A 27,754-nucleotide genomic window follows, 5' to 3' on the forward strand; every position below is an offset into this window, starting at 1 on the left:
GAATCAATGAAGGAAGACAGGAAAGAATAATCAGCCTATGTAAGCTCCAGGGTGATATAATGTCATAGAACCAAAGAGAGGACATAGTTGAAGAACCAGAAGACTGCTGTAGGGTCAAACACTTTAGAGAGCGGTAGGAGAATTGGATTTGAGACAGATTTTTCATTTGGCAAAATGGAAGAGAAGCGGAAAACTCAGAAGCACACAACACATGTTAAGACAGTCATGATAAATTTATGTAAATGTTTAGATTTTACAGTTGGTTATTTATAAAGTCAAGTGTATTACCTAACGAATCCACCTAATTTATCATCATAGCCCAAACAAGCCATCTAACTAAGCAAGTATGTTTTCCAAGCCACGCATTTTTTTATTAGAATTGTCTTCACGAGCAGCAATATATTCACCATCATCCCGTTCCTAGAATATTTCTGTTATCCCCAGACTTCATCTATAAGTCATATCATAGAGCATTTCTCCCTTTATCTCTTTCACCTGACCCAACTCTAAAGCTCTTTCTACACAACTGAGCTTTACCTCTGCAATTGGGTATCTATATTCACTATATTACTTGACATCCATTTTTGAATGACTATAATACGTTGTCTTTCTTCCATGAAAGCATATAATGTTCTCCTACAAGCTTATAAAAATGTCTCTATTTCACATGTTTTTAATGACTGGTATATAGTACAATGGACACAATAAATATTTTTAGCTGATTTCTATTTCATATCCATGCTATTGCCCCCTCTGAGGGAGTTTTGTCAGCTTTCCACCAGCCACACCCCTTAATTCTTTCAGAACTCCAGTGCTGCTTGAGATTTCCTGGTTTAATCAGGCCAGTAGCCTATTCATTTGCCCACATGCTTCCTACTTTCCAATCACTTAGTGCAGTTTTGTCACAGTTGTGTTAATCCCATTTCTCCTTTATTGAGCGTGCTTCTCCAGGAAATATTGCCATCATCACTCCCCACAAAATCTAGAAGGTCACTCCACACACCGTCAGGACATGTTGACTGAGTAATGCTGCTGAATACCTACAAAAAGAATAATTTTTCAATTCATTAACTTTTTGACTCAGTATAATGAAAGACATTAATTTGAAACATCTACAATTGCAATTGCCTCTAGTAAACTTTAATAACAATGTATTTATCAAAGTGCGATTCAATCACCTTGGGGAGAAAGAAAGCAGGAAATGAAGTTGAAACAAGTAAGTACCCTTCAGAGAAAACAAGCACTTGTTGACAGCTGACTAATTGAAGAGAAAGAAGGCATTCTTTTTTCAGGAACACAGGAGACAAAGATGAACAAAAGACTGTCTCAGAGACAGGAAAAAAATAGTTCAGGAGGGAAGTGAAAAAGAGATCACTAGTCCTTACCTCTTCCAAAAGGGATGATTAGTAGAAAATATTTTGTTATTGTTTAAGAACAAGAAATACAAATTTATCTTAGGACATAAAGACAAACACAAAGGCATATAAACATTGTGTATTTTAGGATCCTCGTTTTCCTTTTTTGCATAATTTTTTAGTGGTTGTTCTAAGCATTGCAATATATATCCTTAATATTTCAGACTACTTAGAGTTAATATTGAATCAATTCATTTAAAATGTAGAAATCTTGCAAGGTATGAGTTCATTTACTCACCTTTTCATCCTTTTTGCTATAGTTGTCAAATGCATTACGTTATAAATCCTATGATGCAATGTTATCATTTTCAGTGCTCTTTATTTTTTGCCGCTGAAGACCTGATTTTCCATCTGGTTGTATTTCTCTTCAACCTGAAGAACTTCTTTGGTATTTCTTATAGTACGTGTTCACTGGCTACATATACTTTTAGTTTTCTTTATCTGGAAATGTATTTTACTTCACCATCATTCTTTTAGAATTATTTTCACTGGATATAGAATTTAATGTAGTTTTGAGTTTTGTTTTATTCTTTAAAGATGTTGTTCCACTGTCTTCTGGTCTCCATTATTTTTCTGATGAGAAGACATCAATCATTCAAATCACAATTCCCTTATATGTAATGTGTCATTTTTCTCTGACAGCTTTCAAAATATCTTTAGTTTTCTGCAACTTGCTGACAATGTGCCAGGTGTGTGCAATGCAATTCTGACATTACCTAGAGTGAGGTCAAATTTCACAAGTTAAGGGTACAGTCTTCCATAAGAGCTCCCTTATTTTGTTATAGGTAGTTAGGCATGAGTGGGGCACGTGAGGGCTCTCCCCCAGCCACTAGGAATGTCAGGTGATGGTTCAGCAATTATCACATTGACTCTCTAAAAGTGACAAATTGGTAGCCAGTGCAAGGGAGAGGCCATTTCCTGATGATCCACAGCTACTGCACTGAAGTGTCCACTGAATATAGATGCCAGAGAGAAGGAACTTACTGAGCATGCACATTAAGACACAAAATGGCAGAGTATGACCTTCCAAGGGCACAGCACCAGAAAAGGGAAAAAAGCCTCAGATGGGCATGTGTACAACTAAACACACCACGCACGCTCACTTCCCAAGCACAAGGAGTGCACTGCACATGCAGGCAGCCCACTCTAAGGGAAGAATCATGGGAAAGGGGCCAGCCTATAAAGTCCTAGGATCAAGGTAAAGCACTGCACTTGTTCTTCAAGTTGCCTGATTGGATCTCTTCCAAGTGTACTTTCCTTTCTTTCCTGTTCTAATGCCTTCTTAATAAACTTCCACTCCTGCTCTGAAACTTGCCTAAGTCTCTTTTTTTTCTGCTTTATGCCCCTCCATCAAATTCTTTATTCTGAGGAGGCAAGAACTGATGTTGCTGCAGACCTGTACAGATTCATCGCTGGTAACTCAGATACTGAGAGGTGACAGCATGCTGGCAGCCCTTGCAGCCCTCGCTGGTTCTTGGCGCCTCCTCGGCCTCGGCACCCACTCTGGCCGTGCTTGAGGAGCCCTTCAGCCCCCCGCCGCACTGTGGGAGCCCCTTCCTGGGATGGGCGAGGCCGGAGGCAGCTCCCTCAGCCTGCGGGGAGGTGTGGAGGGAGAGGCACGGGCGGGAACCGGGGCTGCGCGCCGCGCTTGCTGGCCAGCTAGAGTTCTGGGTGGGCGTGGGCTTGGCGGGCCCGCACTCGGAGCAGCCAGCCGGCCCCGCAGGCCCGGGGCAGTGAGGGTAATTAGGATCCGGGCCAGCAGCTGCGGAGGGTGCGCGGGGTCCCCCACCAGTGCCGGCCCTGTGGCGCTACACTCGATTTCTCGCCGGGCCTTAGCCGCCTCCCCACGGGGCAGGGCTCGGGACCTGCAGCCTGGGCACCCTCCCCCCCACCTGTGGGCTCCTGCGCAGACCGAGCCTCCCGACCAGCGCCGCCCCCTGCTCCACGGTGCCCAGTCCCATCAACCGCCCAAGGGCTGAGAAGTGCGGGCACACGGGGCAGGACTGGCAGGCGGCTCCCGCTGGGACCCTAGTGCGGGATCCACTGGGTGAAGCCAGCTGGGCCCCTGAGTCTACTGGGGACTTGGAGAACCTTTATGTCTAGCTAACGGATTGTAAATACACCGATCAGCACTCTGTGTCTAGCTCAAGGTTTGTAAATACACCAATCAGCACTCTGTATCTAGCTAATCTAGTGAGGACATGGAGAACTTTTGTGTCTAGCTCAGGGATTGTAAATGCACCAATCAGCACCCTGTCAAAACAGACCAATCAGGTCTCTGTAAAACAGACCAATCAGCTCTCTGTAAAATGAACCAATCAGCAGGATGTGGGTGGGGCCAGATAAGAGAATAAAAGCAGGCTTCCCCAGCCAGCAGGGGCAATAGGCTCAGGTTCTCTTCCTTGCTGTGGAAGTTTTGTTCTTTTGCTCTTTGCAAAAGCTCTTGCTACTGCTCATTCTTTGGGTTCATACTGCCTTTATGAGCAGTAACACTGATCACGAAGGTCTGTAGCTTCACTGCTGAAGCCAGCAAGACCACAAACCCACTGGGAGGAATGAACAACTCCAGACCTGCTGCCTTAGGAGTTCTAATGCTCACCGTGGAGGTTTGCAGCTTCACTCCTGAGGCCAGCAAGACCACGAACCCACCAGAAGGAAGAAACTCTGAACACATCTGAACATCAGAAGGAACAAACTCTGAACACGCTGCCTTTAAGAACTGTAACACTCACCACGAGGGTCCAAGGCTTCATTGTTGAAGTCAGTGAGACCAAGAACCCACCAATTCCGGACACAATATCTTCCACCAGTAACACCTTCAGAAACTAGTTGCAAGCCCGGGATTGCTAGGTCCTTGTTCTTCTGACTGACTGGCTACAAATTCAGGCATTCCCATTGCCCCATCAGATTCTGTAATTTGCTAGAAATGACTTGCAGAACTCAGGAAAGTATTTATACTTATAGTTTTATTATAAAGGATATAGATCAGGACCAGAAAATGAAGAGATCCACAGAATGCAGTCTGGGAAGGTTCCAAACACAAAAGCTTCTGTGTCCTAAGAGCATTACTTTTTTGAATCATTAATATATAATTGCCAGTTACAGAAGCTCACCTGTGCCTTGGTGCCAGAATGTTTACTGGCGGTTTTTTTCTTTTCTTTCTTTCTTTCTTTTTTTTTTTTTTGACACAGGGTCTCACTCTGTTACCCAGGCTGGAGTGCAGTGGCATGATCTTGGCTCACTGCAGCATCTGCCTCCTGGGTTCTAGCGATTCTCCTACCTCAGCCTCCCAGGTAGCTGGGATTACAGGCACGCACCACCATGCCCAGCTAATTTTTGTATTTTTAGTAGATAAGGGGTTTCACCATGTTGGTCAGGCTGGTCTTGAACTCCTGATCTCAGGCGATCCACCCACCTCGGCCTCCCGAAGTGCTGGGGTTACAGGTGTGAGCCACCACACCCAGCTTGGAGTTTTGTTATATAGGCATGATTGATTGAACTGTAACTTGAAATATCAGGGGTTTGGTCCAGGTCCTGCTGCTTGCTGCACAGAAAGCCAGTCACTAAGACAATCATTATTGCCAAGGAAGAAGACTTTAATGGGGTCCTGCAGTCAAGGAGATAGGAGATCAGTCTCAAATCCATCTCCCCGACCAACTAAAATTAGGGGTTTATTTAGCAGGAAAGAAACATAATTACGTGTGGAAAAGCAGGAACTCAGGTGGGGTAAGAAACCAATCGTGATGAATGAGGGCTTGAACTCTCATTGTCTGGTGAGTTTCAGTTCTTTCATACTTTATTTATTTATTTATTTTTGAGACAAGGTCTCACTCTGTTGCCCAGGCTACAGTGCAGTGGCACAATCACCACTCACTGCAGCCTCACCCTCCTGGACTCAAGCAATCCTCCCACTTCAGCCTCCCGAGTAGCTAGGACTATCGGTGCATGATACCATGCCCAGCTAATTTTTGTAGTTTTTATAGAGATGAGGTTTCACCACGTTGCCCAGGCTGGTGTCAAACTCCTGGGCTCTAGCAATCTGCCCTACCTTGGCCTCCTAAAGTGCTGGGGTTACATGTGAGAGCTACTGTCCCTGGCCTCTTTGATACTTTTTGAGAGGCCTGGGGGTCCTTTCCTGAGGAACTCACATAAAAGATAGGTAAGTTTCAAGCTTTAAGACCATAAGGGTCAATTTCTATATTTATCCAAAAAAACCATCTAGTGGTCTGTTGCATCAGTTTCAGAATCATTGGTCACATGATTGAACTGAATCCCCAGCCCTCCCCACCACCCACCACCCACCACCCACCACCCTACCAAGAGGTACAGCTTATATCACATGCAATAACATAGTTGGTCATTCTGATATGGTCAGCCCCCAGCCTGAGTCATCTCATTTGCATAAACTCAAGTGTGATCCCAAGGGCCCATCAAGGATAAAAGATAATTCTATCACCCCAAAAAATTCCAAGGATTTAGAGGTCATCTCCCAGGGACAGAGGTCAAATTCTTTACAACAGTGTGGTTTTCTTTGTATTTATCCAACTTCTTGGGGTTTGCTGAGCTTCTTTTTATTTTTTTAAGACAGGGTTTACCCTGTTGCCAGGTGGGACTGCAGTGGCATAATCAGAGCTCACTGTAGCCTCAAAACTCCTGGGCTCAAGCAATCCTCCTGCCATAGACTCCCAAGTAGCTGGGACTACAGGCGTGCACCACTACACCTGACTCATTATTTTTAATTTTTTGTAGAAACAGGGTTTGCTTTGTTGCTCAGGCTTGTCGCAAACCCCCATTGTATCCTGGTAGTAACTAACTTCTTTTGTATTTTACAGGTTCATAGGTGGAAGAGACTTGCCTTGTCTCAGATGAGACTTTAGACTTGGACTTCTGAGTTAATGAGAGAATAAGACTTTGGGGGACTGTTGGGAAGGCATGATTGTGTTCCAAAATGTGAGAAGGACATGAGATTTGGGAGGGGCCGGGGGCAGAATGCGATTTGGAAGGGGCTAGGGGCAGAATAATATGGTTTGGCTCTGTGTCCCCAAGTAAACCTCATATTGAATTATAATCCTCAGTGCTGAAGGAGGGGCTTCATGGGAGATGACCGGATCATAGGAGCAGACTTCTCCCTTACTGTTCTTGTTTTGTTTTGTTTTGTTTTGTTTTTGAGATGCAGTCTCGCTCTCTCGCCCAGGCTGGAGTGCAGTGACGTGATCTCGGCTCACTGTAAGCTCCGCTTCCTGAGTTCATGCCATTCTCCTGCCTCAGCCTCTCGAGTAGCTGGGACTACAGGCACCCACCACCATGCCCGGCTAATTTGTTTTTTTTTTTTTTTTTTTTTTGTCTTTCAGTAGAGACGGGATTTCACCGTGTTAGCCGGGATGGTCTCGATCTCCTGACCTCGTGATCCACCCGCCTCGGCCTCCCAAAGTGCTGGGATTACAGGCGTGAGCCACTGCGCGCGCGCCCGGCCCCTTACCGTTCTTGGAATAGTGAGTGAGTTCTCATGAGATCTGGTTGATTAAGGTGTGTAGCACTTCCTCCTTTGCTGGCTCTCTCTCCTGCTCCACCATGTGAAGATTTCCCTCCTTACCTTTACCTTCCACCATGATTAAGTTTCCTGAGACCTCCGTAGCCATGCTTTCTACACAGCCTATGGAACTATGAGTCAATTAAATCTCTTTTGTTCATAACTTACCCAGCCTCAGGTAGTTCCTTACAGCAATGTGAGAATGGACTAATACAGGAAGGAAATTCTGGGGAGCACAGCTGCAGCTGAATTGGAACAGTACAAAATTGCCACAGTCCTGATCTTTATTTTGTTTTTTTTTTTTTTTTTTTTTTTTGAGACGGAGTCTCGCTGTCCCCCCAGCTGGAGTCCAGTGGCGTGATCTCGGCTCACTGCAAGCTCCGCCTCCCGGGTTCACGCCATTCTCCTGCGTTAGCCTCCCCAGTAGCTGGGACTTCCAGATGCCTGCCACCACGCCCGGCTAATTTTTTGTATTTTTAGCAGAGACGGGGTTTCACTGTGTGTTAGCCAGGATGGTCTCGATCTCCTGACCTCGTGATCCGCCCGCCTCGGCCTCCTAAAGTGCTGGGATTACAGCCATAAGCCACCGTGCCCGGCCCACAGTCCTGATCTTTACCAAACATACCATGATAAAAAAGAGAATGATTAACCCTGACGCCACCATGGACCTATTTAAAAAGATATGAAGTGAGGTTTCAGGTATTTAAGACCTACAGAATGTAACAGGACAAAATAATTCAATAAACTCAATTTTCTGGTTCTGACCACTTAACAACTCCACCTGAAATTCTCAGACATCATGACTAGCACTAGCATGGCAATTTTCATTTTTTGGTGGGGGGCTACTGTTTTTAATAAAATGCTGGGCTGATGGCTTTGACTCAGTGGTAACTCCTGTGTGACTTTGTAAATAAAATGGGCAAGATTACTCAATTTTATGTCCTAATTCTGCTATAGCCTTTTATATTTACCTCATAGTAATATTCTCTAAGTAATCTTTGTTTGCTTTCTTGTTGCAACACTTTAATATCTTAGAAGGAAGGAATATAAAATTGATGTAATTATTGGTTTTTCTGCTGTGTGAACTGTAAGTTAATTTCCATACATTGTTTTAATGTCACTTTCTTTTAACAAAAGAGTTGAGCTTCAAGTCAGTGACAAGTAAATACAGAACATAAAATTTTAAAAAATAACAAAAAAATGTTCATCAGCTAATAAAACACATTTTTTCTTTGTTAAAAGATAAAACTACATTTCATCTATGAAAGAATTTTCTGTCAAATCTTACATGGCAAGATTGACAACAGTAATATTTTTTTCTAAGATGAAAAACATTTTCAAATGAGAGATGAACTCCTTAATAAAGATGTAATCAGTCTTGTCAGGGAGAGGATTTACACAGTAAGTAAAGAGAAGTTCAAATTTGAAATTAATGGCACACAAGAGAGCAGTTCTCATAGTCCAGGATCAGTCCTCAGACATTTACTTGAAGGATTATTATTTCCTTTACATTTTGGAAGAAAAAAGTATAGAAGAGGTAGGAATAAATATCAGTTATTATAATAGAAAAGTTATAAAGAGAAAAAGAATTCATACTAACATCTTCTCCAGCTCACCTATACTAAATTATTAGCTAAAAAGAGAAATGACAAGAGTTTCAGATCATGCTGAGAAGCAAGAAAGAATAGAAAATAATGTGTCACATTCAATTTCAGCCTGTAATTTCATATTTCCCCTAAAAGGAAATATCTCAGGATACTGAATTACAAGTTCTAGCTAACAGATCGAGATGAAGCAGATGCTTTATACCAAGTAAGGTGCCAGACACAAACTCAAATTTTTAAAGGAAATAATCACAAAATTCTTAGACCTCTTACGTTTTCCACTCCCAATGAGAATGGAAGAGAGGGTGCCTGATCTCTTTCTTCATGCTCATTTGGATGGGCTGGGGCCTCCACCAAGTGTACTGATACTGCTTATTATGTTATTCCTGAAGCGGTAGGGCATAATAACTGCATTCTGATTCGTGTCCAGGGAAATCAAGAGATGGAGAAATTGGCCCACCAACCACTTTGGTGGTAAAAGAGGAGAGTTTCCTTTGTGATTGGCCCGCGCTCCTAAATTTGCCCAAGTAAAATCTACATGAGTGTTTCCCACGACTTGGAGGTGGATTGCATATGAGGGTGAGTTCACCTTGGATTCAGTCCAATAGTGCTGCTGAAAGAAATCAAGGGGGCCCCATTCACAAGGATGAAATCTAGGTGTATGCCAGATTGCTGGAGGTAGTAAGGGTGGAGAGATTCTAAAGCCATCACTCAAATAGAGACCCATCCACTAGGGAACCAGAAGTGAGAGACTTCACTGATGAGACTCAAGTGCCCACAAAAGCACTATGAGAGAGTTACCCTAAATATCTGCCAGTTCCAGGAACTCAAATCTGGCCCACCAAAGACAAGTTAAAGTAAGCATTTCCATATTACCTTTCTCTTCTTCCCTCCAATGCTCCAAATCTAGAGTGCCCTGAAGCTATGGCAAGCTGGCACCTAAAATCAGCACTAGCTGAAGAAAAGAAAAGACATAACTTTAAATTGAGAATTTCAAATATTATACAGAAACCAACACTCTAATTTCTGAATCTAGGAAGTGTTTTGGGCCTTAAGAGGTCTTTAGGACTGCTCATTATCTAAATGTGAGCTGAAAATCTTGGAACTCAAATTTAATGATGGGTAAAAGCTTCCACCACTGAAAAGATTTAAGACATAATGAGAGAACAAAAAAAAAAGTTGTATTAGGATTTATGCTTAGGGCTTCTTCAATGTAAAAGTAATATAAAAATCACCTTCACATAAACCTTCTACCAACTCCATCCTATCAGGCTTCCTAGAGTAAACAACTTGTTCTTTACTCTCTCTAAATAAGGACTTAGCCTCTCCTTTGTTCATCAGAAACCTTATTAAGATTTTTCTTAGACCTCGGTGGTGATCGGGAGGTGATGCTTAGGTATAAGCATATGTATAGGAATATATGCTTGGTGGCTTTTTTCCCCCCAACATTTGTTACATACTGAGGTTTTGGTATATATTTTTTCTTACCAAGAATTAAAATTTACATAAAATCAAAAGTTACAGGGATTATACTATCTTTTGATATGTTCATTTTTTCTCCTTTGTTAGCATTTAGGGCATACCCCATAACTCCAATTGCCTCACTAGTAGACATTTCCCAGTCAAATAAGATATGGCCTGAGGAAACGGCCCAGTAAGTATAATTTTACTGAAATAAGAACAGAAGCAAAGTTCTAATGGGTTGATGAATACATGGGAAATGAGGAAATAGATATAAGAAATGAATACCAAAATTTCTGGAAGCTCCACAGTAACCAAATGAGGAATTCGGTGCTGTTGCAAGAACTAGATTGAATGAAAAAAAATAAAGTTAAAGGCCAAATATAATTATTACAGACCTAATTTAAAAAAATTATGACTCTTTTAAGTGCTTATGATGCTTTAAAAATGTTTTAAAAATCTGTATTTTTATGTTCTGTGTAACTCGCATAAAATGAGTTCTCATTAAACTTCATTTTTACTTATACAACCATGTCTTCCAATAAGTATATGTTCTATACCTTCTCAGAGTATACTCTGTTATGTGTTGTATGTGGAATATACAATGGGAACAATTGTGCTCAATTACTATTCTGCCCAATGCTGTAGCTTACCATGTATAGAGTGATAGTCTATAATACATGCATAGGACAATGACTAACATATTCTTACAATATCTCCTTTGAAGGGGAATATTCTGATTAATTTATGATGTGGTAGTAATAAATACTTAAAATAACACATGAACACGCTAATATAAGCACTGATTTCATTATTTTATTTATTTATTTATTTAAAGACAGTCTCACTCTGTCACCCAGACTGGAGTGCATTGGCATCATCATGGCTTACTGCAGCCTCAACCTCCTGGGCTCAGGTGATCTTCCCACCACAGCCTCACAGGCAGCTTAGACTACAAGTGTGTGCCATCATGCCCAGCTAATTTGTTGTGTTTTTTGTAGAGACAGGGTTTTGCCATGTCACCAGGCTGGTCTCAAACTCCTGGACTCAAGAGACCAACCTGCCTTGGCCTCCCAAAGTGCTGGGATTACAGCTGTGAGCCACTATGCCTGGCCTCTTATTTTTGTTTCTTATTCATATTATCTAAGAATTTTAATTTACTGTCAGTGGTTATTGCTTTATGAAATCTCAGTAACAAGAAGCAAAGAAAATGAGATCAGTAAGTGAGAATCCTGAATACATTACGAACTTTTCTGCTCATAAGTCCTCTTGTTTGAACAAACAGGAAGCATTATCATGAAAGTCTCTTCTGATAATTCCACTGCCATTCTTACATCTATCAATGATTGAAATAAAGTATAAAAAATGAGACTAACCGATGACTAATAGGATAGTAGAAGACCCTTAAAATAGTTTTATTCCTCTAGTACAGGTGGTCTTAAATGGGGGTCTTAAAAAAATGATTCTAATTCTCAAGATTTCTAGAAATGCTTCCTAAAAAGTAACCTTTACATTATATCCTTCAAATTAAAAGCAAAGTGCCTTAACAGCGAAGTAAAATCATGTTCCATAGGAATAAATTTCCTCCACTCATTATGAATACAGGTATCAGAAAGATTAAAATTTACTTCTTTCTGTCATTGACACAACTACTCTGCTTATTCTTGCTTAGTTATTTCAGTACCCATGACAGTGTTCCAGCACATAGCTGAGTATGTGGGACAAATTCAGAACACAGAAATTATTATATTAATGCATGAATAAATGAATGAATAGTTGAAGTGTAAGTTCCTAGGAAGAAAGGCAATGAGATAAATCCACTTTTTTTCCCTCACATAGGCCTTGTTTGAAGACAATAATTACATGGCCTGAGGCCCTCTCTTTGAGAATACTTCATTTTTACTCAAAGAGGTCTTACCTAGTATGTAAACCTCATTTGTTTGATCCATTTAACTTCATCATTTGGGAGATATAATGGTTCTCAGACTTGTAATATTTTGACGGCATGAAACAAATAATATTTGATTTGTTACATCTGAAGGATTATAAGGCTAATGAGTAAGAATAACTCGATGCTCCACTTCAGGTGATTCGTATGCTATAGGAGTTAGCAATCTAGTTCTTGTCTTTCGTTTGAATAAATTAACAAATATTCCTAGAGTATCTACTGATTACAAGGCCTGAGCCAGACGGACCTTGTTAGGGACTCTTGAACAAGCAGAACTAAAAGCATGATAGACAAAAGGTAGAAATCTAATTAAAAGCAGTTGAGATGATGACACAAGATCAATTGAAATAATCTGCAAAGCCCAGAATGAAGTTAGACACTTTTCATTTTAGTCTGCTGACAAAATTAAGCAATATAACATCACAAAATATTAGATTTGTTAATTATATATTTGTCTATTTTATGCTTAAGTGTATCTACATTAAATGTTAGATTAAATGCAATGTGGTGTTAGTATTAGACCCTGGAGTAAAGTCATAGGTGAAAAACCAGTGAAAGCAAATAGTCTGTAGTTTAGTTAATATTCTAGCAATATTAATTTTTTTAGTTTTGAAAAATGGTTATAAAAGATGTTAACATTCGGGCAAACTGGATAAAGATTACATGGAATCTCTTTTGGCTATTTTTGTAACTTCTGTAAATTAAAAAGTACTTCAAAATAAAATTATTTAAAATTGTAATTAGAACAACTCTATATTAAATTTTTTCATAACCCTCATTATTGTGTGTGTGTGTGTATATATGTATATATGTATATATGTGTATATATGTATATATGTATATATGTGTATATATGTATATATGTATATATGTGTATATATGCATATATATGTATATATGTGTATATATGTATATATGTATATATGTATATGTATGTATATATGTATGTGTGTATATATATGGTTTTGTTTTGTTTTTTTTTTTTTTTTTTTTGAGACAGAGTCTCTCTCTGTCGCCCAGGCTGAAGTGTAGTGGCGCTATCTCGGCTCACTGCAAGCTCCGCCTCCCAGGTTCACGCCATTCTCCTGCCTCAGCCTCCTGAGTAGCTGGGACTACAGGCGCCCACTATCACGCCCGGCTAATTTTTTGTATTTTTAGTAGAGACGAGGTTTCACCGTGTTAGCCAGGATGGTCTCCATCTCCTGACCTCGTGATCCACCCGCCTCGGCCTCCCAAAATGCTGGGATTACAGGCGTGAGCCACTGCGCCTGGCCTGTTTTAAAATATTTTTAAAACCAAATTGTGAGTCATGTCGATGGCTTATTTGGGACTTTATTCAAGACTCTTTAGTGCCACTGACTTTAATGGTTTGCCCATACATCAAACTGAGCAACCCTAAGGAGGCATTCTTTCCTCTTCATGGCAGAAGTAGTAGTATTTTCCAACAATGACTTCTGCCTTAGGTCTGAATAGTGTCCTAAACATTTTGCCTCATGTTCATTTTAGCTGCACATTTTAAAGGGGACAGTTTCCAGTTACACAATGTTTCTTTTACTATCTGGTAATGAGAGTTATAATAAATACTTCAGGCCCTGACCACATTTTGTCAGAGGTAAATATTATGCTTTCTTTTTTGTTTACAGTACACAATGATCCTCATCATTTTGAGATATTTCTATATCAATCTCCCATTTTTTTTTTTTTAGTTGCTGTGATCATTTCCCCATGTATATGTTATGTGAAAGAAAAGTATTTGAGATTGTGTTCACTAACAAGAAATAGGCATTGGAAAATAAGTACATTGGGCTCAACACTATTCTGACACAATAGGAAAACCTAGTAAGATAGTAATCTTAATGGCAGCAAATGTCATTAAATTAAAAACATCTACACAGCAACAACCTAATGTTCATATTAATGAGAGGTAGGAACACTGATAGTAATCAACATCTGTTGCTGGTGTTAATATTCAACATTAAAGTAATCCACAGAGGGAAAATACAACTACTGCAGGTTAAATGACAACTACAGCTTTTCTGATTGGTGGTTGTAAGCAGAAGGTCCAGTAGCAGCAAAGTAATCAAGACGGGGTTTTCACATCATGTCTTTCCAAATAATCACTGTCCTAAGTGAGGAGTAGAAGACACTGTCACATTGAGGTATTAGTCAGTTTTCACAGTGCCATAAAGAACTGCGCAGACTGGGTAATTTATAAAGGAAAGAGGCTTAATTGATTCACAGTTCTACATGGCTGGGGAGGCCTTAGAAAACTTATAATCATGGCAAAAGGGGAAGCGGAAACAAGCACCTTCTTCACATGGCAAGCAGGAGAGAGAAGAAAGAAGGAGGAACTTCCAAACACTTATAAAACCGTCAGCTCTTGTGGGAACTCCCTATCAGGAGAGCGGCAGGAGAGAAACAGCCCTGCATGATCCAATCACTTCCCTACTTCCACAATGGGGATTACAAATGAAGATGAGATTTGGGTGGCGACACAGAGCCATATCGTATCAAAGTATGAAAGGTTTCTAGGATTTATTAGTTTGGGTTGTTAAGAGTTATACGGCTGGCAACGCTGTGCAGGGCCGTTTACTTCAGCTGCATACATTTTTTCGCTGCATGAGGGGTTGGGGAGAGCTACTCTCTTCTGGTCCTGAAAAGTAATCAAGAGAGAGAGGGATTTTTCACATCGTGTCTTAATTCTCACAAAGGCACGCTTCAAATGACGGATAAAAACCCGTCTTCCCGACTCCAAGAAGCTACTTTCTGACAGTTGTAAACAAGCTTCTTTCTCTTACTGCACAGGAGAGTCCTCTTACAGATCTCAGATCCTGACATTATTTTCAATAAAACTTTGTGCGGCCGCTAGTTTTAAATTCATGGTCTCCTGGAAGCTTTGGCTGGAGACTACTCAGCTCGTCACTGAACTAACGGCTTTTGGGGGTTCTTTTTTCCCAGTTGAGTTTCTGTGTCTTTTACACGTTTGGTTTTATGGTCCGTTGGAGGTTTTTTCACGCTGAGGGTGAAGATTCTTAGTTTCCTCAATTAGCATAAAAGCTGCTCCAAGGCTGCTGAGTCTTCAGTTCCATTCCATTCAAAATGTTAATTCCTGAGACACGCAACCTACGCCCTACTGTCCTTTGTCCCACGGCTTCTCGAGATTATCTCTGTGTTTTAATAGATAAAACGCCTTCTCTCCCCACCCGTGGGGTGCAAAGCACAGCGCATGGGGCTGGTGGCGCCCGAGAGCATCACACAACGCATGCGCCAGTCCGCAGGTGTGGGCGGAGGAGAAATCGCGTCGGCGGCAGGGGATGACGTAAAAAGGCCGCGCTGTACTGCGGCTTGTGCCGCTTCCGCAAGAAGGTTTCCTGGCCTGTTGCAGCCATGGTGCATTGCAGTTGCGTGTTGTTCAGAAAGGTCCGTGCGGGTCCCCTCAGCCTGGTCCCCTTAGCGCTGACAGCTCTGGTTCTTCTTTGCTCCCCTGTCTCTCCACTACTGTCTTCGTGGCGGCCTTTTCCTTGCTTGGTTTTCCCATAGACTTCTCCGCCCCTCCTGTAGTGGCGCTTTGTCAGTAAGCGGTGACAGTGGTGTGTGTACCTGGCGTGGTTTGGACGGTTGTTTGGGGGCAGGGGCAGGGTTTGAAGTTCTTTAGAGACATAGTGTGCACGTGGTATGAGGAACTGGGATACCTGCCTGCTGTGGCCCAAATGTTGTGGTGGTTTTTTTTCCTTTAATGTCCACAGCCTGTTTTTATATATTTCTCCTTGAGTGCGCTGTTTAAGGTTTTTCTAATGGATTTTTATGAAGACACGAAAGCGTGTAATTGATGTGCCTTCCTGCAGAACATTTAGGTCGATTTTTGTGTGGTGTCGGTCTTAAGAATCGTTTCCGTAAAAATTTACAACTGCTTTGAATTTTTATTTTTTAAATCTTATCCTATCAGTAATGCTTTTTGAAACGTTGCCTGCGTCATATTTGGCCATTACTTTATTTCTAACGACCAGAGTAAAATACTCCTTTTAAGTAAGGCTCCTAAACCCCTGAATCTGATTAATCTAGAGCAGGAAAAAAGTGTTACATATTTAATGGAACTGTAGAAACTCTCCTCGAGTATATCAGAATGGTCAATATTTCAACTTTCTTGAAAAAAAAATCCCATTTGTTTTTTATAATAGCTATCCTAAATGACTAGAGATGTGGATTATGAATTTAAGAAATTACTCCTTAAGTTATTTTGATTTTAATAGCCTAAGAGGTTAATACGTAAGTCCTTTACCTACAAGAAGTTCTTGATTTAGTGAAGGAAACAGGTAAACACTAAATGCAGCGTGAGATTTATAAAGGTGTAATAATAGAGATATAATCAAATTGCTGGGAGAGCCAGCAAAGTCAGAGAATTGATTAGAGGAATTTGGAAAGACGTTAGAAAATATGACGTTTAGGTGGATTTATGATAGGAAAAACAAATGACATTCTAAGTAGAGGAAAAGCATGAGCAGAATGGCATGTAGAAATGGCGGTATTTCATGTAGTACAGAGCAAAGAGGAAGAGAGGAAGGGTTGAGCAAGTGAAAAGGATACAGGAAGGAACTAGGCATGGTAGGTGAGCCTATTGTTCTTGCTACTTGGGAGGCTGAGGTGGGAGGATCCCTTAAGGCCAGGAGTTCAAGACCAGTCTGGGCAACATAGCAAGACCCCATCTTTAAAACAGTCGGGGTGGTGTGGTGCCTGTAGTCCCAGCCATTTGGGAGGCTGAAGTGGGAGAATTGCTTGAGCCCAGGAGTTTGAGGCTGCAGCAATGATAGTGCTATGATAGTGCCACGGCACTCGAGCCCAGGCACCAGAACCAGACCCTGTTTCAAAAAAAAGAAAATAAAAGATACCAGAAGGGTATTTTAGTAGCTTTGGATATACAGTTGACCCTTCAAGAACATGGGGGTTAGAGATGCCCCCGCCACAGCTGAAAATCTTCATGTAACTTTCAACTCCCCCCACAAAACAACTACTAATAATCTGTTGGCTGGAAGCCTCACTGATAACATAAGCCGTCAGTTGACACATATAAAATATATATATAGTATATACTGTATTCTTAAATTAAGCTAGAGAAAAGAAACAGTTACTAAGAAAGTCAGAAAGAAGGGAAAATATATTTACTGTTCATTAAATGGAAGTGAATTGTAAAGGTCTTCATCCTTATAGTCTTCATGTTGAATAGACTGAGGAGGAAGAGGAGGAGTTGGTCTTGCTCTCTTGGGTGGCAGAGGCAGAAGGGGTGGGGGTGGAGGAGGTGGAAGGGGAGGCAAGAGAGGCAGACACACTATGTGTAACTTTATGGAAGTACATCATAATTTCTGTCATGCTTTTGCTTTTCTCTTTCCCCCAAAAAAATGTTTCTATAGGGTACCAATACCTCTTCCACCATTTGCTTTGGTTTCAGTGCCTCTTCACAGAAGGGTCCATGTCATAAAAGAAGTCAAAAGCAGTCCTGAACAATAGGAGCTCTTCTGCCAGATTATCTAATGTTCGTTTTTCTGGTAGTTTATTCTGTGTTTTCTTCCTTGTTATCTGGCACTGGATCTGAAGCACTCATCAAGCTGTCTTCTGTTAATTCCTCTGGTTTGGTGGCTGTTAGCTCTTGAGTTTCTTCAAGATCCATATCTTGAAGTCCTTTACCCACTTTCCCGCCGTTTTTGGCATATTCACAGCCTCTTTCATGATTTCCTTGATTGGCTCTTTTGTAAATCCTGTGAAATTATAACACAACACAACACCTGGACAAAGTTTTCTCCAGCACGAACTTACTGTTTGGGGCTTATGGCTTTCATGGCTTTTTCAATAATAATGGCATCTTCAATTATGTAAACTTCAGATTTTCCTGAAGTTTTCTCTATTAGTGTTCTTTTCCATGGTTGACAATCCTTTTCGTAGAAAATCATGTTTAATGAGCCTTAAAGGTCCTTGCGACCCCGTGATCTAGAGGCTGATTTACAGACATTGTGTTTGGGGGCAAGGACACCACTTCAGTGCCTTTGATGTTGAACTCATGGGGTTCTGGGTAGCGGGGAGGTGGGGCACTGTCCATTAGCAGAGGAACTTTACAAGTCAGTCTCGTATTGGGAAGGTACTTCCTGACTTCAGGGAGAAAGCATCCATGGAACCAATCCAGAGAAAAGGTTTTTGTTCTCTAGGCCTTCTTATCCAACAAAGACTGGCAGCTGATGTTTATCTTTCCCTTTCAAGATTGAGGGGTTAGCAGCTTTATAGATAAGGACAGTCCTGATTACAAACACAACTGCATTTGCACAATACAGTAGGGTTAGCCTATCCCTTCCTGGCTTAAATCCTGGTGCTCCCTTCTCTTCCTTACTAATGTCTTTTGTAGCATGTTTTCCAGAATAGGGTACTTTCATCAGCATTAACAACCTGATTTGGGAGATATTCTTTCGTCTCAGTGATTTTCTTAATGGCATCTGGGAACTCATCTGCTGCCTCTTAGTTGGCAGAACCTGCTTCACCTGTTATCTTGATATTTCTAAAGCCAAAGCCAAACCTATTTCTTCTTTTTTTTTTTTAAATTATACTTTAAGTTCTAGGGTACATGTACACAGCGTGCAGGTTTGTTACATAGGTATACATGTGCCATGTTGGTTTGCTGCACCCATTAACTTGTCATTTACATTGGGTATTTCTCCTAATGTTATCTCTCACCCAGCCCCCAACCCCATGACAGGTCCCAGTGTGTGATGTTCCCCCCGTGTCCCAAGTGTTCTCATTGTTCAGTTCCCACCTATGAGTGAGAACATGTGGTGTTTGGTTTTCTGTCCTTGTGATAGTTTGGTCAGAATGATGGTTTCCAGCTGCATCCATGTCACTCATCCTTTTTATGGCTGCATAGTATTCCATCGTGTATATGTGCCACATTTTCTTAATCCAGTCTATCATTGATGGACATTTGGGTTGGTTCCAAGTCTTTGCTGTTGTGAATAGTGCCACAATAAACATACGTGTGCATGTGTCTTTATAGTGGCATGATTTTTAATCCTTTGGGTATATATCCAGTAATGGGATGGCTGGGTCAAATGGTATTTCTAGTTCTAGATTCTTGAGGAATCTAGAACTGTCTTCCACAGTCAAACCTCCTTCTAAAATTATCAAATCATCCTTTGCTGGCAATTAATTCTTTAGCTTTAGATCCTTCACATTCCTTTTGCTTTTAAGTTGTCATATGGTAACCTTACTTTTTCTTTTATTGTATTAGTCTATGTTTTTAAAATAGGAATCCTGCATCTACATAAAAGTTGCCTTTTTAATACAAGATAAAAAGTTAATTCACAAAAAGTGCAAGGTTTTCACACCTTTTGGCATAGCTGCTGCAGTGGCTTCATGAATTTTTGTCTTTTTTTACACTGATTCTTATTCTGGATTCATTTATCTTGAGATAGCAGGCCATCGCAGCTACAGATTTTAATCTGTGGTAGATATCAAGCAATTCATCTTTTTATCGTAGTGTCATGACTTTACTTCTTGGGAGCACTGCCAGCATCACTAGTGGCACTTTGTATGGGTTCCATGGTGGTGTTCAAGGTTTACAGTGTAGCGCTGAACATGATGAAAAATGCAAGAGAACTGTGAGAGATTACTTTTTACTGACTTATAAAATGTACTGGCAAGATGAACTGCTCATGGGGAGACGATTAGCATCACATGGCCTTTTAAGTGGCAACTTGGGACACTTGAGATCCCGGGATAGTTACAGGAGGTAACTACGAAATTATTACAGTATTCCACGATGTACTACAGTTAATTTTATGCAGTTATGATTTAATACTGCATTTTTACATTTGCTTACATTTCTCTTGACTGCAAATGCTGCCATGTAAGATCTGTAAGTGTGTGTGTAAGTTTTGATAAATTTTAAGTTTTTATAATAGATGTGTGGCCAGGTGCAGTAGCTCATGCCTGTAATTCCAGCACTTTGGGAGGCCAAGGCAAGAGGATTGTTTGTGGCCAGGAGTTTGAGACCAGCCTGGGCAACATAGCAAAACCCCATCTCTAGTTTTTAAAAATTAAGATAGATATGTGTATATTTTATGGAAGTAAATGACAAAATAGATTAGCATCTATATATTTTTTGCACTCATAACACACAGCTTTTCTTAATTTTTTCAATATTTCCAATCTATTTGCTTTGTAAGTTTTTTCAAATTGTTGCAAAGCTCAAAAAATTTTTCTAATATATTTATTGAAAAATATCTGTATATAAGTGGACACACGCAGCTCAAACCAGTGTTGTTCAAGGGTCAACTGTAGTACTAAGAATTTTTTACTTTATTTCATAAGCATTTTTTTTTTTGAGACGGAGTCTCGCTCTGTCGCCCAGGCTAGAGTGCAGTGGCTTGATCTCGGCCCACTGCAAGCTCTGCCTCCCAGGTTCATGCCATTCTCCTGCCTCAGCCTGCAGAGTAGCTGGGACTACAGGCGCCCGCCACCACGCCTGGCTAGTTTTTTTGTATTTTTAGTAGAGACAGGGTTTCTCCATGTTAGCCAGGATGGTCTCGATCTCCTGAACTCGTGATCCGCCCACCTTGGCCTCCCAGAGTGCTGGGATTACAGGCATGAGCCACTGCACTTGGCTCATAAGCATTTTTTTAATGCATGGTTTTTGAGTAAAGGAGAAACATGATTAGAGATCAGATCAATTTCAGAAAAATAGTTCAGGCAACAAGTTGGAGAATGCAATAAGGAAAAAATGCCTAAACACTGAAAGGAGCTCATGTGGTGCAGGTACTAGGGCAGTGGTACTGGAGAGAAGAGAGTAGGGCTTTGGGAAAAGAAGCAGGTGTAGTCTGAAAGACTTCCATTTGTGTAGTCTCAATGAATATGTAAACCATGGTTCTGTTACTTTAGAGAACATTGGAGGAACAGATTTTACCTGGGGAAGAGTTTGGTTTTGTTATGTTAACATTTATTTTTGAGGTGGCTATTATTCAACTGATATGTAAGAACAAGTTTCATATTGGGGAATTTCAAATATAAGTTAAATACACATTCTGCTCACATTTGCTTTATACTATTAAAAGCTTTCATCCTGGTGGAAATGTCTGACAGATTGGACATAGAAAATATCTCACCTAGGTGATGGTTATTGGTACAAGCAGAAATTACCCAGGGGAGAAAGTCTAGAATGAAAACAGGGCCAAGTCAGAAACCCTCAGGATAGGTGGGACAATAATTGATAACTGAAAAAACTAAAAGGGACTTAAGAGAGATAATCAAATGGGAAAGGGGGTCAGATCGGAGATGTGGAGGTGAGCTAAGAAAATGTTATAGAATTGGCATGTGAAAAGCTATTAACGACTTTTTTAGAAGAAGTTTTAGTGGAAGAAAGAACTAGAAAAAGGTTCTAAGGTGATACACTTTTGGTATACAAATATTCTTTCTCTTTTTTTTTTAAGTATGGAAATTTCATCGATAAGCTAAGACTCTTCACCAGGGGAGGATCCGGTGGAATGGGTTATCCTCGTTTAGGTGGAGAAGGTGGAAAAGGTGGTGATGTCTGGGTTGTAGCCCAGAACAGAATGACTTTAAAACAACTTAAAGACAGGTATCCTCGGAAACGGTTTGTGGCTGGAGTAGGAGCAAACAGCAAGTAAGTAATTACTGAATGACTTAAATTTTAGAAAATCAAACCCTTCTGGAAATTTTTTTTTTAGTTACAAAATAAAAACTTAATTGTTAATTTGAAGTAAATTATTTCCTGTATTTATAACCAAGCAAAAGCCTAAAATGTCTCAACTCATAAAAGACTGATACTAAAGAATATTTCAGAGTTTTAAAACTTTCTGTCCGTTTCTTTTCCCAATGTCTATCTGTATTCTTTTTGCACTTCCCCTGTAGAAACCGATAATTATCTGAATTCCCACTGTTTTCTTCTAAAATTATCTTTGACAACCTTTTAGAAAACTTTCAGTCTTAACCATGCTACTCTACCCCACCACCATTAGAAGGCAAGATAACCACTATTAACCTTTTCTTGACTTTTCTAAGACTTTTCTGTGTGTTTACACAAATGCAATTATGTGCCTAAAAGTTTAGAATACAAAAATGAGAGTACAGTATTTTACAATCTGCTATTTTTACTTTTTTTCACATGTCAAAATTATTCAGAATACCTGCATAATAAATAACTATTTTGTCATTTGTCTATTTAGGTTATTGTTGATTTTTTTTTCCGATTATAACCACAGTGCAGCATTCTGTGTAGATACTATTTTACATGTTTGTTCAATTATTATTTTGATAAATTCCCAGAAGTAGAATTACTAAAACATTTGTACTAATTTTTTCTTTTATGAGCAGTTTAAGAGTAGCCAGATTTGCCTTCTATAATGTAAGTACTCTCATTTGAGGTTAGTTTTTTAAAAGCTTTGCTATTTGGTGGATTTTCTTTTTTTTTTTATAGATTCATTTTTTCTTTTTTTTTTGAGACAGAGTCTCATTCTGTTGCCTAGGTTGAGTGTAGTGGGCACTATCATAGCTCACTGCAGCCTCTACCTTTCAGGCTGAAGTGATCCTCCCACCTCTGCCTCCCAAGTAGCTGAGACTACGGGTATGTGCCACCATGCCCAGCTAATTTTTAAATTTTTCTTTTTTTGTAGAAATGGGGTCGTGCTATGGTGTTCAGGCTTGTCTTGAACTCCTGGACTCAAGAGATCCTCCTGCCTCCGCCTCCCAAAGTGCTGAGATTACAGGCGTGAGCCACCACGCCTGGCTTTTTCTACCCTATTTGTATTGTAGCAATAATCTCTTCATTTCATGGTTGCAATATTTTAGTTTCGGGTTAAAATGACCTTTGGTGGTTAGCTTAGTAACTTAAATCATTACTTAATGCCATTTTAGTGGGATATAATAGTCTAAAATGCAAAGAAATAATTAGGGATAATTTTAGTTTTTTTAAACCCCGTGTTTGACCATTTAACATCTGCGTTAACCAGAGAATTGATTGCTACTCTTCTTTGTAAACCATTTTGTGTGTATGTGTGTGTGTGTATATATACACACACACATACATACATATATATACTTTTTTTTTGGTAGAATTAGTGCACTGAAAGGCTCCAAAGGAAAAGACTGTGAAATCCCTGTGCCTGTGGGTATTTCAGTAACTGATGAAAATGGTAAAATTATAGGTGAGTGTACTATAACTCCAAAAGTTGTAAAAATGTGCACGTTTTCTAAAATGAAACAATGGAATAGCTTCTCTTGAGTTTCAGAAGATTTTTTAACTAACAATTTTAGCTACTATTCTATAAGAGAGCATTTTTAAAACTTATAAAAGTTAAATTGACTGCTAGATTTAAGATTGTTTTAAAGATGTTACAGTTCTTACTTGGTCTTAAAATATATAACTAGGCTCTTTTCAATTGTTTACTGAAGTGTTTTTCTGGGGTCAAACTTTTAATAGATTTGTAAATTGGAATTTCCTGGACTGTTTTTCTGAAAGAACAATATTACATTAATGATTCTACTTATTAATTATAGATTTGTAATTGAGAATTTCCTGGCATGTATTTTTGAAAGTAAAATATTACATTAATGATTTCACTTACTAATCTATAGATTTGTAATTTTGCATTTCTTTGCCTGTATTTCTGAAAGAAATATATTGCATTAGTGATTTCACTTATTAATCTTTGCTGTAAGTATTTCTCTCCCTCTTTTTAAGGAGAACTCAATAAAGAAAATGACAGAATTTTGGTAGCTCAAGGAGGTCTTGGTGGTAAATTACTTACAAATTTCTTACCATTGAAAGGCCAGAAACGAATAATTCACCTTGATCTAAAACTTATAGCTGATGTAGGCCTAGTAGGGTAAGTATCGTTCATATTTTTATTATTATACTTTCAGAGAGAGAGTTCTTGAATAGAAAATAAATGTAAATGGTAATTTGGGGCCATAATTATTTCTAATTTATGGAATTTGTGTGTTGTGTATGTACTTGGAAAATATGCTGCTAAATATTATTTTCAAATTGCCAACACAGAGTTTCATAGTTATTGCTTATTTATAAAATTAAGACCAGAGCAATTGAATAGATCAGTGGGAATGTTAGAGAATGCATAAAGAAAGAAAAATCAATCAAATGCAATATTACAAGATGGTTAAATAATGTTACCAGATATTAATAATAAATCCAAACAAACCGTATTATTATTAAAAATATATAGAAGGAAATAAACAGGGAAAAATGGTTGACATAACTCTTTTGGGTCTTAATAGAGACATTAAAGTATCGTTAATCAAATGGCTAAAGACCAGTACAGACAATCTCAATCCTCAGACTTACGCACTGTTGCCGCCAAATTGAATCCTGCTATGACTGTATATCCTTCTTGCCTCTGCTTAGGATCTATCTAGTCTCAGCAATGTAGGCCTCACAAGAGTGTCCTCTTCCACCAGCCTCCATTCTTTCATTAAATAATGCTGTTTAGCTGTGGGGTTTGCAGTGCAGCTGCCCACTGGAAGGGGATAGATAGTAAGATACAGAATACATAAAGGAAGAGAAAACTTCAATTTGCATTTGCTCTCTCTCCCCCATCCCCCCTCCCTCCTATCCTCTCCCTCTGGCCCTATCACAGTATTACACAGTTATTCAGATGGAAAGCTTAAGGACAAGATAAGGAAAACTGCCTTATTACTGTCCTACTCCAAATTCCTAGTTCTATTTTTTGCTTCCCCATAGCTTCTTTCTAAGTTCTTTTCATGTTCCTCTTCAGTCATCTCACTGCTTCTTTACCAGACTCTTAAGTCTGTATCCCTCGTCTTTTGCCCTGCCTGACCAGCCACTAGAGCTTACCACCATTGGTTTAGGGTTCACAGAGGCCCCATTCCTGCTAAAATTATAACAAGGAAAGATGTGATCCTGGCTTGCCATTTACATTTATTTTTTTCAATAAAGCACAGTTACAAGAGTTATTAGATGTAAGTTCTATAATCCTCTATATTTTTAGGAACATTATGGGCTTAATAGGGTCTTATGGACAAGACTGGCAGTCCAGCCAATCACAGTTGCATTTTGCATAAACATGTGTTTCAAGTTCTGAAGAGACAACTTTACAGTCTAAGAGGAGCCTAGCACGGCTTAGTCATAAAAGTGGAGTGGCATGGAGGACTCAGGTTAGACTATTTAGGTTAGGATCTCAAATCCTCTGGAGGCTGGCCAGCTGGTCTTGGGTAAATTACACAGCCTCTCTAAGCCTTTGTTTTCTCTTCTTTTTTTCTTTTCTTTTCTCTCATTCTTCCTTCACTATAGTTTTTTGCTTTTCACCACGTCATTTGTTTTCTCATCTTTAATAGTGTATGGAGATAAGTCTTTCCTTAAAATGTTGGTGGGTAAGATAATGCATTTACAGCAGAATACATGCTTTGCATTTTTGTACGTTCAATGAATTGTAGCTGCTATCTTCATCATCATTATATTGCCAACTTACTGGAAAACTGCATATAATGAAATACTAGGCTTTTCAGAAGTAGGTTTGAAATTTGTCTGTAATTAAAGCATCAAGATTCTTAAGCATATCAAACAAGAATGGGGGAAAAAGATTTTTAAGTGGAATGTTTAACATATTTTCTAGTGTTTTTAAATTAGGCAACTATTCTTGAAGAGTTACTACTATGAATACTAGCATAAGTAGATATCCTTTTAGCTGGTTTTGGAAATGGACTGAATCACAGAAGAAAGTTATTGTACAACTAACAGATTTGTGCTGCTGTTGTCAGATCTGATCTTTGCATAGGTTGGATTTTAGCCTGTAAAATTTTCACTGGGTACTTTTCAAGAAAAATTTCAAATATCTGTTATTCAGTCATTAGCATCATCTTTCTATTCATACTTTGATCTTCTTGGAAATAGTTGCTTGCATTATGTGCTCAATCATTATGAAAATATGAGGATGTTGGAAACAAGCAAGTCCAGCTAGTGATAATTATGGATAAAAACAGCTGCAATTTGCTTTTCAAAAGCTATAAGAACCTGGATGAAACAGGGTATGAAAAAACTATATGTTCCAGGAGAAACAAGTCATTAAGAAACCTCACATAATTTTATTTTAAATTCATGACAGAAAGATTTTTTTAATGAGGGAAATTGTTGAAATACCTCCAGCTAATACGCTTTTATAAAATTCCAAATTAATATTTGCAGAATATTCCACCATTATTCCAAATGAAAGTTTGGCAGAGTTTTTGAAGTACCGTCTTCAAATTTGAATAAGAACTCTGTGAAGGCGGGAATCATTTTGTCTCATTGCTCAGTATGTTGCCTGATACGAAGTCAGTGCTCAATAAATATTTGTTGGATAAATTTAATGAAAATATATGAATGAGATTTAGCAATGAATGTTTTAAGTAACCCCCATTCCTAGTACTGTCTTTCATACATGGTGGGCCTTTCTTGAGGGAAATTTAGCAGTATAATCAAAGCCTTTAAAATGAGCATGTATTTTATCTGGTATTTCTTCATGTAGACATTTATTCCAAGAAAGAAATCAAAGATGTGTGCAAAGAGAAGTCTTAGCCAGAACAATCAGGCAAGAGAAAAAAAGGGCATTCAAATTGGAAAGAAGGAAGTCAAACTATCTGTTTGCCCACCATATGATCTTATACCTTGAAAACCCTAGAGACTCCTTCAAAAGACTCCTAGATTTGATAAATGAATTCAGTATACTCTCAGGTTACAAAATCAGTATACACAAATCAATAGCACTGCTATACACCAACAACAACCAAGCTGAGAATTAAATCAAGAACTCAATCCCTTTTACAATAGCTACAAAAAATAAAATACCAAAGAATATACGTAACCAAGGTCGAGAAAGATCTCTACAAGGAGAACTACAGAACACTGCTGAAAGAAATCATAGATGACACAAACAAATGGAAATACATCCAAAGCAATCCTAAGCAAAATGAACAAATCTAGAGGAATCATATTACCTGACTTCAAATTATATTACAAGGTTATAGTAACCAAAACAGCATGGTATTGACAGAGAAGTAGGTACTTAGACCAATGGAACAGAATAGAGAACCCAGAAATAAAACCAAATACTTAAGACCAACTGATCGTCAACAAAGCACACAAAAACATAAACTGGGGAAAGGATACCCTATTCAAAAAATGATGCTGAGAAAATTGGATATCCAAATGTAGAATAATGAAACTGCATTCATATCTCTCATTATATACGAAAATTAAGATAGATTAAAGATTTTAATCTAAGACCTGAAATTATAAAAATTCTACAACACTTAGGAAAAACCCTTCTGGACATTGGCCTAGACAAAGAATCTGTGACTAAGATCTCAAACCAAATGCAACAAAAATACATAAGTGGGACCTAATTAAAGTAAAAGTCTTGTGCACAGCAAAAGAAAGAATCAACAGAGTAAACAGCCTACAGAATGGGAGAAAGTATTTGCAAACTACGCATCTAACAGAGGACTAATATACTGAGTCTGCAAGGAACTCAGATCAGCAAGGAAAAAACAATTCCGTTAAAAAGTGGACAAATGACATGGACATTTCTCAAAAGAAGATATGCATACAAATGGCCAATACGCATATAAGAAAATGTTCAACATCACTAATACTCAGGGAAATGCATATTAAAACCACAATGATTTACCAACTTAGCTAGAATGGTCATTATGGAAAAGTCAAAAAACAATACGTGCTGACATAGATGTGGGGAAAAGAGAACTCATACTTTTTTTTTTTCTTTAACTTAAA

At 39.1% G+C, this 27,754-nt stretch overlaps 1 protein-coding gene and 2 long non-coding RNA genes across 4 annotated transcripts in view, besides 2 other annotated features; 2 read left to right on the forward strand and 1 right to left on the reverse strand.

Annotated features, from left to right (window-relative positions):
• Positions 1–221: 221 nt before the first annotated feature.
• On the reverse strand, positions 222–27,642 carry LOC107986715 (uncharacterized). Its single transcript, XR_001744961.2, has 4 exons — positions 24,311–27,642; positions 10,299–10,355; positions 9,426–9,504; positions 222–1,040 (listed from the first exon to the last, which is right to left on the reverse strand). It is a non-coding gene; the product is annotated as an uncharacterized LOC107986715 (long non-coding RNA).
• Positions 3,827–12,698, forward strand: LOC101927446 (uncharacterized). Its single transcript, NR_110085.1, has 6 exons — positions 3,827–4,175; positions 5,098–5,188; positions 6,770–6,911; positions 8,980–9,128; positions 10,119–10,203; positions 10,849–12,698. It is a non-coding gene; the product is annotated as an uncharacterized LOC101927446 (long non-coding RNA).
• Positions 14,786–14,925: an enhancer, noted in NCBI's record as "active region_26244". NCBI's record gives its function as "activates an Ori minimal core promoter by ATAC-STARR-seq in GM12878 lymphoblastoid cells {active_cell/tissue: GM12878}" and the evidence as "EXISTENCE:reporter gene assay evidence [ECO:0000049][PMID:35858748]".
• Positions 15,136–15,565: an enhancer, noted in NCBI's record as "active region_26245". NCBI's record gives its function as "activates an Ori minimal core promoter by ATAC-STARR-seq in GM12878 lymphoblastoid cells {active_cell/tissue: GM12878}" and the evidence as "EXISTENCE:reporter gene assay evidence [ECO:0000049][PMID:35858748]".
• GTPBP10 (GTP binding protein 10) overlaps positions 15,320–27,754 on the forward strand; it is a 44,738-nt gene continuing 32,303 nt past the window's right edge. Inside the window, exons 1-4 of one of the 2 annotated variants that reach the window (NM_033107.4) lie at positions 15,320–15,378; positions 21,420–21,613; positions 23,062–23,153; positions 23,690–23,834. In NM_033107.4, the coding sequence (NP_149098.2) occupies positions 15,346–15,378; positions 21,420–21,613; positions 23,062–23,153; positions 23,690–23,834 (464 nt within the window). In that variant the 5' untranslated portion in view covers positions 15,320–15,345. The remainder of the gene's footprint in view (positions 15,379–21,419; positions 21,614–23,061; positions 23,154–23,689; positions 23,835–27,754) is intronic. The other variant, NM_001042717.3, reaches the window with a different exon arrangement.

This window comes from Homo sapiens, chromosome 7, assembly GCF_000001405.40.
Source record: "Homo sapiens chromosome 7, GRCh38.p14 Primary Assembly".
Classification (NCBI taxonomy): domain Eukaryota; kingdom Metazoa; phylum Chordata; class Mammalia; order Primates; family Hominidae; genus Homo; species Homo sapiens.